General features: G+C 38.2%; 1 protein-coding gene across 50 annotated transcripts in view, besides 2 other annotated features; it reads left to right on the top strand.

Moving 5' to 3' along the window:
- Nucleotides 1-12,183, top strand: part of SYNE1 (spectrin repeat containing nuclear envelope protein 1) — a 515,676-nt gene that overhangs the window by 467,868 nt on the left and 35,625 nt on the right. For 49 of the 50 annotated variants that reach the window (XM_047418508.1, XM_017010610.2, XM_017010609.2 and 46 more), the window contains one exon: nt 5,170-5,332. In XM_047418508.1, coding sequence (XP_047274464.1) covers nt 5,170-5,332 — 163 coding nt within the window. Of the gene's footprint in view, nt 1-1,182; nt 1,383-5,169; nt 5,333-12,183 lie in introns of those variants that run through there. The other variant, NM_001347702.2, reaches the window with a different exon arrangement.
- Nucleotides 8,808-8,857: a silencer, noted in NCBI's record as "silent region_17689". NCBI's record gives its function as "represses an Ori minimal core promoter by ATAC-STARR-seq in GM12878 lymphoblastoid cells {active_cell/tissue: GM12878}" and the evidence as "EXISTENCE:reporter gene assay evidence [ECO:0000049][PMID:35858748]".
- Nucleotides 8,928-9,117: an enhancer, noted in NCBI's record as "active region_25285". NCBI's record gives its function as "activates an Ori minimal core promoter by ATAC-STARR-seq in GM12878 lymphoblastoid cells {active_cell/tissue: GM12878}" and the evidence as "EXISTENCE:reporter gene assay evidence [ECO:0000049][PMID:35858748]".

The raw sequence follows: 12,183 nt of genomic DNA, 5'->3' as shown, positions 1-12,183 counted from the left end.
TGCCTCCCAGGTTCACGCCATTCTCCTGCCTCAGCCTCCCGAGTAGCTGGGACTACAGGTGCCCGCCACCACGCCCAGCTAATTTTTTGTATTTTTAGTAGAGACAGGGTTTCACAGTGTTAGCCAGGATGGTCTTGATCTCCTGACCTTGTGATCCACCAACCTCAGCCTCCCAAAGTGCTGGGATTACAGGCGTGAGCCACCAATGTATTTCTTTTATTAAGAAAATGTGTTTCCTGTAGTGTTCTGTTTTAAAAACAGTCAACTCACATGACCAGAACCAGATGCTTTGTTTTATTTTAGTTACAAATCATCATGTAGTCCTTTTTGGAAAGAACTTAGCAAATTTTCATTATTTATTTAATATTTATTATTTATTTGTGTGTAGTTTTTAATCCCCTAAAGGATGTAAAGCATCCAGCATTAATCATATTTTATTGAATTATAGGAATTAATAATTTGGGGACTTATTTTCTTTAAAAGTATAAATTATTAAATTATCATCTGCTTAGTGCAGAAAGTTTGGAAACTCTTGAAATTCACAAAAGAAAAAGAGTTACCTGAAGACCCCCTGAGCAAATGAATATAGTTATTTTTTTAATTGTCTTAAAATGAAAATGTTATTTTTGTCATCTACATGATTATTTTTAAAGGACAAAAGTTTTGCATATGTAAGGGAGAATAATATTTCTTCCTTATTTTTCCTCCCCAAATAGTCTACTCAAAGATAAAGAGCATGTACTTTCCCACCTTCGCAAACAACCCCTAAAACTCTTGCATACACTACCGAGCTGGCATACTGAACCCAAAAAAGAAGGAAGTTACTCCTTTTGCTACTACCATTTGCTGTGTTTGTGGACATTTTGTTTGTTTGCAGTGGGATGATTTGTTTTCTTTAAATAGCTTTCCCAGCATAACAAACTGCCCGCAAGAAAAGTTGACTGTCCTTACAGAACAGCAGAGTGTGTGCAGCCGATGTTGTTTTTGCTGTCCTTTCTTTAGACCTGTAGCTTCCTCCTCCTTACAGATTACACTGAGCTTTTTCCCCTTCTTACACTCGTGGCCTACATTCCAGGAGATCAAGCCTGGCACATGTTAATGAATGTAGGTTTTATTTAGAAACATGACCACTTGTCACTGCCCAGTGTCATGTTATCGGGCAGAGACTACCAACATTTGTCTACAGTGAGCATTTTCATACTTCTATACACAGACAAGGGGAAACTTTCATCCCCACGCAGGATATAGCTTTTTGCTCTGCAGAGTCTAACTTTTGCAAGTGGAAGCTTCATGGTGGTGGCGGAGGACCTGAGTGCCCTGAGGATGGCAGAGGACAGCTGTGTGGATGCAGATCTCCCAGATTGTAACTGCGATGTCACAAGGCAGGCATCTTCTTGAGTTTCTTCCATTGTACATAGCTTTCATGTTACGTGGGGTTTGTAGGATAGACGCTGGAAGCCTTAATCCAGAACTGTTTTTGCCAATGTTACATGAAGAGGATTGGTGTTGGGAGATAGCTGGCCATGTGGACTCCCAAGAGTTATTCGTTGGTTTGTTTTCTAGTACCTCTACTGGGCATGCAGAGCTGGACAAAAAGGTTAATGGACTTTATTATGACTCTGTATTCCAGTTGTCTCTGGACCGTATGCGTCATACAAGGAGTATGGCTAGAGTAGAGAGGCTGAGACACAGGAAAGCGATCCAGAAAAAGACTCAGTTAGTCCATCATCTGCTATTTAAAGGATGGGCTTCTGATGAAACTGAAATTTAGCCTTAGCTGGTTCACAGCTTTGTAGTTGAAAGCTTTCCTTTCATGAAATAAAACTATTTCAGGGCTCTAGAAAATGCTGTGTGTTTGAGAAAGTTGCTTTTGTTTGTGCTTGTCAGTAAGTTTTAGTCCCTAATATGAAGCTTATAAAATATATGTGCAAAGTGTACAAATTAATGTCTAAAATAGTAATTTAGTGCATTATGCAAATGTTTAGTTCATGATTTTTTTCAGTTAGAATAAAAATATGACAGGAATTTTTTTAATATGTTTTTCTTTACTGTATCATCCCTCAGATAAATTTCTACAAATGAATAGGATTTACCCAATGGTAATTTTTGTTCTATTATATTTAGAATTTGGACTTTTTGTTTTGTTTTGGGTTATGGATATACTAAATTACTTTGAAGGAAAGTGGTGAAATATAGATACAATATATATAGATATATAAGCATATATGTGTAAGTACGTATATACATATTTATGTGTGTTTGTATATACGTGTTTCAGTGTTAAGAAGCTGGACATTTGGATTTCATAGTAGAATCCTTTTCAAGAAAGGTCAAGTGCCTGTGATACACACTGGACTGTGAAAGAACCATAAGCTGCAGGGACTTACAGATTTATCAAGCTGCTAAACTTACCCAGACATGTGACGTCTGCAAGTATCTAATTTGAATGATAATCCTGGATGCTTACCAAAAGTAATGTTGCTCAGACTTCTCACGATGATAGATAAATAAAAATACTGTGACGCTTCACCCAAAAATTATCTTTAAAGAAATAATGGAAAGAAACATGGGACATTTCTCCTAAAAAAAAGAATGATCCCTGTCCTGCAAATAAATGTCAAGTTTAATAAGCCAAGGCTTATTAATCCTACTACCCATGCCCTACAGGCTCACCTCTGCTCCCCCAGCACACATGCACACTGTATTTTGCTATTTGTAGTAAAAACACAATTTTTAAAAAAATGAAAAAGAACTGCTTAAATGTTCACCCCCGTCGACTTTACTAAATTTACACATTTGCTTGAAAGAGGAACTTGTCCCTAATGGACTATATGAACACACATTTCCATGTCATGATGCCCTTGACATATTGCATACTAACCACTCTGACTTGGAACTCATTCGATATTACAAAAGCTATCCTGTAATTTATTTTTCTAATGTAGACGGTCCTATGGAACAGTGTTTACTTGCATCCTTTTGTGCTTTGGATCTTTTGATCATATTTGTGAGTTTTGAACCAAAAAAACGAATGAATTTTAGTACTTGACAAATAGAGCACTGGCAAATGTTGAATCTAGAAGTAAAACTTAATACACACTTAATATCAAATAAAAATTTTAAAATGAAAACATGTTAATTAAATAAACACAATTCGCTTAGAATATTCATTATTAATGTTTAGCAACCACTTAAACAGTACCCAGTTTAGTGCAAAGCACTGAGTTTAGCATGGCCGGGGTAGGGAAATAGCCAAATATAGAAATTCACATTTCCAGCTTTCCAAGGAAGTTACCATGGAGGAGACCAATTAATGCATGAATAATACCAGGGAACTAAAATAAGGAAGGGAGAAAACAAGCACTCCAACCTCTAGTAAAACCCTGATGACATTACCATCCCCAAGCCTAGTAAGTGTTCAGATCCTACGAAATCTGAAGTCATGCAGGAGAGGCTGCTGAGAAGACATTCCTACAGATGTAAAAGCAGGACGGACCTCTCTGTGCTGTGTGCCATTCTTCAGGCCTCTTCCAGTGGGTTTATTGATGGTAAACTCTTCTTTCAGTCTGGGGCACTATGGCCAGAGCCATGTAAAATTCCATGTCCATGCTGTGGTCGATCAAATGCACTCCATGAGCTTTGTACCCAGTAGCCATAATAAAACTGTCATTCACTGACTGATGCCCAGATGAATTTTGTCTTAGCCATGAGAGAAATGTGAGTGAGTTGTATGTAAAAGTTCTTGGAAATAGTGTTCAAGGCCAATGCCTTGAAGTGTCTGGGGGACAGGGTACAATTTGTATTTATAAAGCTAATTGGGGAAATCTTATCTCGAGTGGAATTGTAAGTCACAATAAACATTGTAACATATTTTCATTTTCTACCAAAAGAATATATTGTGAAATATGAACATAATTTTTTAAATACACATTTTTTAAAACAATAAAAGGTAATGTTCCTGAGGGTTTTTACAAACTGAAAATGTTATTCAAATAGAAGAATTATTAATTACAATTATTAAAATATAGATATTATTAACAGCTGACCATAGTGAAAATCCTTTAAGAGCATTTATATGACAGTGCTTTGAGGAAAAATGACAAAAAGGAAAAGCGATCATGTTGTCAAATGACTACATTTTCACTTGAGAGAGACACATTGATTTATTGAAACTGGAACAGAAGTGATGATAACAATTTTAAGCAACTAAAAATAAATCAAATGTTCAAAATACTTTGATTATGAGACATTTTCTTCGGAACAGTGTGTCTTGATCAGAGAAACGTATCAGAACCACCTGGCGGTGGTGGCTGGTAGTTGGCACCTGTGGTTTGAAAGCACCCTCCACTGACTGTGTGACAATCCCAGCTTGAGAATCACTTCTTTAAATGCCTGGAAGTAATGTGGGGGTGGGGGAGGGGGCGCGAATATCTGATGACTCTAAGTGTATAAGTTGTCAATCTTTGAGAACATTCTATTGCAGATCCCTGCCTTTAAATGTATCACAAACCTAGAGTCTTACAAGTCATGTTGCTCTTGACATATTTTCAAGAAGATAGATACCTCTTCAGTTGAGCCAAGATGACACCCTAGCAGCTTGAAGTATTTTGCTCATCTGCTGTTTACCTCTGTTATGAGCAGTGCCAATTAGGTGGCCATATTTCCTGAACCAAAAGGCGAGACTCATAGTCTAAAGGTAGCAGCAATTTTTAAATAAGGGCACTAATAGATCATTGATCATATGCTTATTATCACCATGACCTTTCTCTTTAGAGCAATCTGTGTACACTCAGCCATGTCAGGCTCTTAACAGGGAGTCAATAATTGATTTTTGCTGTAAGTAGGTAGTAATGGAGTTGAGAAATACTACCTGTGGTTCTTCCCAAACTTCTGATCACACCTTGCTCACACTGGGAAAACTGTGTTCAAAACTAATTTATCTATCTCTGCTCCTGTGCCCTGGACCCCTGCCTCCTCTGCATCCTTGCTCCTTTGTCTGTATTCATCTCTAATTTCTATCCTCCTTTGTCTTCTGTCTTTGGCTTCTTCCACATGAGTTTCTAACTCTGCCTAAAAAGATTGTTAAAGCCCAGTGTTCTCCTCTGCACGCTAGAGAAACATGAGTGGGCCTCTCGCTGAAGTGGGACATTCCCCCTTCTCTGCCCACAGGGTGAAGAAGCTGAAGGAGACCCTGGTAGCCGTGCAGCAGCTTGATAAGAACATGAGCAGCCTGAGGACCTGGCTCGCTCACATCGAGTCAGAGCTGGCCAAGCCAATAGTCTACGATTCCTGTAACTCGGAAGAAATACAGAGAAAGCTTAATGAGCAGCAGGTAAGACTTAAAATGGAAATGGAATTAATAAGCCATGGAATATCTGTCCTCCTGGCCAGGATGATGGGGTGGGCATGAGATGGTGCCTGGAGATGGAAGGTCAGCAGGGAGCTAGGCAGGACTGGTGAGGAAGGGGGCTTTGCCTAGGCAGGCGATTGAGGCCAACAGGTTCCATGTCACTGCAGAGTTCAGCCTTACAAAGATGGTTGTGCCATTGTACAGTTAGTGTCATCCATCCACCAAGAAGCCTTCTAAGATGGTAGGTAAGGTGGAGTTGCAATTACGTATCTAAAACAGTGCTAACAGATTGGTTTATTTATTTGAGAGTCACTAGCCCTAGCCCACTACCATACACTTAGACAGGACTGAAAGGAGCCCCCCTGCCCCCGACTTTTTTTCCTGTGTATAGTGTTTGGGGAAAGATTACAAGGCATACTTAGAATTTTTCAAGTTGAAAAAATTTTGTTTTGCAAAAAGGATTGCATGACCTGCAGATCGCACACAGTAATTCCACTTTCATGTGTGTAGCAAAGACAGAATATCTCACTGGCGGCGTACAACCCAACAAAGCAAAAAGGGATGATCCTGGAAAATGTATACAGAAGAAATTTTCACCTCCCATTCCCTCCCTCATTTATTCTTTCTTTTTTTTTTTTTTTTTCCTGAGACAGAGTCTCACTCTGTTGCCCAGGCTGGAGTGTAGTAGTGCGATCTCAGCTCACTGCAACCTCCACTTCCCAGGTTTAAGCGATTCTCCTGCCTCAGCCTCCCAAGTAGCTGAGATTACAGGCATGCACCACCATGCCTGGCTAATTTTTGTATTGTTAATAGAGACGGAGTTTCGCCATGATGGCCAAGCTGGTCTCAAACTCCTGACCTCAAGTGATCTGCCCACCCTCGGCCTCACAAAGTGCTGGGATTACAGGCGTGAGCCACTGTGCCAGGCCCCCTCATTTATCCTTGCTAAGTATATCGGACTCCAGTTGCCAATAGCAAACACTGTAAATCCCCCGCTAGAGGTATTGTTACTCCATGCATTTAGGTTGCTTTGAATATTCTATCCACACTCTGGTTCTCTCCATTACATTTAGGCCATTGCAGCAAAGTTGCTTAATTTTAAAATGCTATAAAATGTAAATACCTCCTATTTTTAAAATCTTATAGTTTATGTACTTACTTCATTTTACAGACTATTTAAGCCAATGAAATAGGTGTCAAAATACAGTTTTGGGTGTTGAGGTTTTTTTAATATTAAAATTATCATTAAAATTTTTTTCTTTCTAATGAATATATAGTAATTGTACATATGTGTGGGGTACAACGTGGTGCTTCAATGCATATTTTCATAGTGTAATAATCAAACAAACTGAGGTAATTTGATTACCATATCTATCACTTTAAACATTTATCATTTCTTACAATACTCAAAATCTTCTCTTCTAGCTATCTTGAAACATACACTATATTCCATTGCTTTAAAAAAACTGTTAGCAAGACGTTTTTCAATTTTTATGAAATTAAAGTTTTCTGATGGGTGGTGATGTTTGAGATTCTGATGATTGAATTGTAGGGATCCTGGTTGGCATCCGGCTTCCCAGATTCTTCCAGAGAACATGGTAATGATGTCTATAGTGATGAGTTGAAATGCAAATGGCGGGTATCGTAATTTCACAAGTGTATGAAAATCAACAAAATATCTAGTTAAATATGGCAAATTGATCATATGTATTTATAGCCCCACCTACTACTAAAACCCCAATAAAATGATGGTAGAGAGGGAAAAAGGTTAAAACCACAATGGCAAAGAGAACAGGAGAGAAAATGGTAGAGATGACAGACATCCAACATAATTTTGCAAGATAGAAAGTGGATAGATCAGTGATGTTGTTAACAGAATGGAGGGTGGAGAAAGTTGATTCATGCCACAGAGTTCGAAGAAGGCTCAGAAAGTGGAGATCAGGTGAAGCTGAAAGTTGAGTTGCCTATTGAGCTGTAAAATGGAAGATTACTTGAAAATCTGAATAAGGTGTGCTGAGACTGGCAGATTCCTCCTAAGCCCAGCCAGCCAGGGAACTCTGCTTCCTTTACTCAGGTAGAAGATCAGATGATTACTCTCTGGAGAAAGCAAACCAGAGGGACTCTGGGTTTGGGGATCAGGACACCGTGGAGGCTAGAGTCACTATGTTAAAAATGGGGAGATGATGTGACTGGCTCAATACCAAATGCTAGGGCTCCCAGCCCGCTTCCCCAGCTTGGCTCCCACTATGTCAGTACCCAGGCTTACACCCTAGCCAGGAGATTGGAGCATCCTTTCTGGAGAACTGATCAGACAAGCAAAAAGTACCTTCAATTAGTGATACTTAAGGTAACCCAGAAAAGGCCAGACCCCTGCCTAACTCTCCACAGGGAAGCCTCCCAGTTGACATACTTTAGGTGCATACACAGCTTCTATAGCTGACTCATTCTTGAATATGTGTGGGTAGGCAAGAATCCTCACCACTTAAGAAAGCTTCTACCATTAAGAAAAAAAAATAAATAGAGGGAAATAAAGAAAGGAACAATCAGAGGAAACACATTGTAGAGAAAGAAAATGTAAACAAAACAAAACAAACAAACTCACAGAAATGAGAGGTTTTGCATTCATAAAATGATAGGATGCCATTTTTCTTTAAAAAAAGCATTCAGAATGGAGACTATCTTCCACAGAGTAAAACAAAAAGATAAATATATGAAAAATAGGAGAGAAATATAGACATAAACATAATAAAATTAACAATAATGCCAGAGTTTCAAAATCCAATTCAGTTATTTTGTAAAAGTCCCCTGCTAAAAAAAAATAAAGAAAATAGAGAGGAGAAAATTACCATAGTAGTAATGTAATATATATATTTATTATTAAATAATATATGTTTATTATGAAATAAATAATGTAGTAATGTAAAAATATATTTTATATATTTATTATTAAATATATATTTATATTTTTGTTACATTACTACGATGTTAATTTTCTCCTCTCCATTTTCTTTATTCTTTTTTGGGGGGACTTTTATAAAATAACTGAATTGGATTTTGAAACTCTCGCATTATTGTTAATTTTATTATGTTTATGTCTATATTTCTCTCCTATTTTTCATATATTTATCTTTTTGTTTACTTTGTGGAAGATTACACGTATATGTGTACACACATTACACATATGTGTGTGTATATATATTCATATATATATCTAAAATGAAAAACATGCATTTGCAGATGATAAGGGCTGTATGAGTGCCCAGGAAAATGTAAAACAAAGCAAAGCCACACTGTAAAACTGCAAAACACAAGGGATAAGGAGATCCTAAAGGTTTCCAGGATGAAATAAACTCTGGCTTCTCCAAAACAATACTGGGAGCTGGAAGACAATGGCTCTAACTTCAGAAAGCGGAGAAAAATTCTTTATAATTTAGAATTTTATACCCTGCCACTTAATATCTACAAATTTTACCTCCTATGTACCCATTTTCAGGAAGCTAATGAAAGGTATGCTGCATACATGAAAGTGAGAGGAAAATACACTTCATACTTGCTACACAGGCTACGTACTACTATGCTATATATGCTGCATATGCTACACGCACTAAAGCAAGAGGGGAAATGCTATTCAACTCAGGAGAAAGAAAAAGGGAATTCCCAGAGTGAAGGTGCAGGAAAGTCCCTGATGACAGCTGTACTGCAGCCAAGCCAGCACCTGTCCAGATGGGAGCAGGGGCTCTGGGTGCTCTAGGAGGGATGTTTCCAGGAGGAGCCAGGAGGGGCTAGATTATCTGATGGGCTTAACCACTCCGGAAGGAGTTTTATTAGTTCAATAAGAGAGATAATAGAAGCAAGCATTATAAATTAGAGAGAGAGAGAGGATTGTAAAATCCAGGAAAATGAGTTATCAGGAGATCGAGACCATCCTGGCCAACATGGTGAAACCCCGTCTCTACTAAAAATACAAAAATTTAGCTGGGCATGGTGGTGCTTGCCTGTAATCCCAGCTACTCGGGAGGCTGAGGCAGGAGAATCGCTTGAACCAGGGAGTCGGAGGTTGCAGTGAGCGGAGATCGCGCCACTGTACTCTAGCTTGGCGACAGACTGAGACTCTGTCTAAAAAAAAAGAAAAGAAACATAACCATAGTATATTTTGTTCCTCAAATGTGAAAAATATTAAATAACCATAATCATGAGAACAGTGATTATTACCCTAGCTCTAAGTTGTACTGTAACAGTCATTAGAGTTCAGTCAGCCATGTAGAAGTTTATTTCTTCTCTACTATACAAGAATTCATAAAGTATGGACAAATCAAGCAGTAGCTATGTTACTTAGAAATAGAGAAGTTATATATTACTGAGAAATATAGAAATAGGTTGAATGTGGCGGCTCACCCCTGTAATCCTAATACTTCGAGAGGCCAAGGCAGAAGGATCACTTGAGGCCAGGAATTTGAGGCTGCAGTGAGCCATAATCACACCCCTGCACTCCAGCCTGGGTGACAGAGCAAGACCCTGTCTCAAAAAATTAAAAAGGGTAGAAGTAATACCAGAAGAAAGAGCTGCAAGAGATGGAAATGGTTGCTCCTGAACAGGTGAACTCCGGGGTGGAAAACATGCTGCTTTCTTCAGAACCTGCTAGTCGTTTTTTACTTTTTACTACATTAAATATGCACATATAGCTTTTTAATTAAATTTTAAATTAAGACTTTAAAAAGTCCTGTACACCAGTGGTTAAAAGTAAACTTTCTGGGTTCAGATCTTGGCCTCACTACATTCCCATGTGATCTGGGACAAAGCCATAACTATTTGAACCCTTAGAGCCCTGATTTATAGAACGCCAATCATCAGAGTCCACACCACACAGTGTGATTATACAAATTACTAAGAAGAAGCACTGAGCACAGTGCCTACCTAACACAAAGTCAGGGCTTGATACATTTTATTTTAATCATGTCACAGTTACCACAGTTTCCCTTGTGGAAAATTTTTAAGAATGATTCTGTCCCTACTAAAAATACGAAAATTAGCTGGGCATGGTGGTGCGCGCCTGTAGTCCCAGCTACTCAGGAGGCTGAGGCAGGAGAATCGCTTGAACCTGGGAGGCGGAGGTTGCAGTGAGCCGAGATTGTGCCACTGCACTCCAGTCTGCAGACAGAGCGAGACTCCGTCTCAAAAAAAAGAAAAAAAGTTGAAGCTGAGCCTAAAACTTTGTCTTAGGGCACTTATGTATGATTATAAATCCCCTCAAATCTTAGGGTTGCTATTTCATATATTGATTTTAACAAAAACTTTTGAGTATTTAGGGAAAATGAAATAAAAATGCTAACTTTCTTAAATGCATGGTTTATGTCCAGGGGCCTAACACTTCTTCCAAATGTATATGCTTGCACAAAATGTAGTTTAAGACCTCAAATGTACTTGGTAATCTCATTTACAGAATTATTTGTCTTTATATTTATCTTTAAGCAAATACTAAGTTTAATTTTTATATTACTTCATTTTATATTTTTTAGAACAGCAATTCCTGTGACATATTGTTTCATGTAAGTGAAGGAGGTTATGTCAGAGATTTGAAAGGACTGTTTATACAAATATAAATATTTTAGTAAAATTTATCGTCTAGTGTCTAGTTTATAAAATCTCCAAAATTAATTAAAGGCACTATGACATTTGACAATAGCTAGTGTTTGCATAGATGTTGGAACATGGCATCAAGGAAAAAAATAAGAGGAAGAGCAACACAAGAATATAAATCCCGGGTATCTGCGTAAATTGAGGAATTTTTAGAGCAAGAGAAAAAATAAGCAAATTCAAGAACTTCCTGATAAAAGAAAAGGAAAACACATTAAGGACATTGATGAATATAGTAAACAAAAAATGATACTGGTAGAGCTTACTTTTAATAATGGAATACTTACTTGGAGTAAATGGAGTTAAAAGTTCAATAGAGAAAACAACATACAATTTGAATTTACATTTTATACAGTTAAAATGAAGATTTCACATTGTGGGACTCCAGGGAAATCCAATGCTTTGTTTTTATCATAAAACATTTTACTTCTGCCCTACATTAAAAGTTGCTCTATGCCAGGCGCAGTGGCTCACACCTGTAATTCCAGCACTTTGGGAGGCCGAGGTGGGCGGATCACCTGGTCAGGAGTTCCAGACCAGCCTGTCCAACATGGGGAAACCCCGTCTCTACTAAAAACACAAAAATTAGCCAGGCATGGTGGTGGGCGCCTGTAATCCCAGCTACTCAGGAGGCTGAGGCAGGAGAATGAGGAGGAGAATCAGGCAGGAGGTTGCAGTGATCTGAGATCATGCCACTGCACTCCAGCCTGGGCGACAGAGTGAGACTCCATCTAAAAAAAAAAAAAAAAAGAATTTGTTCTCTGAGGAAACTGCTGATGTCATGCATGATATAGAACCTAGGTCCCTTAAATAGTCTTTCTACATCTTTGTGGGGCACATATGATATTTTGTTACATGCATAAACTGTGTAATGATCAAGTCAGGGTATTTGGGGTGTCCGTCACCTCTGGTATTTATTATTTCTATGTGTTGGGAATGTTTCAATTTCTCTCTTCTAGCTATTTTGAAATATGCAGTACATTGTTGTTAACTATAGTCATTCTACTCTATCGAACATTAAGACTTATTCCCTCTAACTGTATGTTTGTGTCTATTGACACCTCACTTCATTGCCCCCAAACACTCTTCCCAGCCTCTGCTATCTGGCGTTCTACTCTCTACCTCCATGAGATCAACTTTTTTAGCTCCCACATACAAGTGAGAATGTGTGATATTTGTGTTTTTGTACCTGGCTTATT

This window comes from Homo sapiens, chromosome 6 (genome assembly GCF_000001405.40).
Source record: "Homo sapiens chromosome 6, GRCh38.p14 Primary Assembly".
Taxonomy (NCBI): Eukaryota; Metazoa; Chordata; class Mammalia; order Primates; family Hominidae; genus Homo; species Homo sapiens.
The sequence above is the reverse complement of the archived record's forward strand: the minus strand, read 5'-3'. Positions and strand labels throughout refer to the sequence as shown.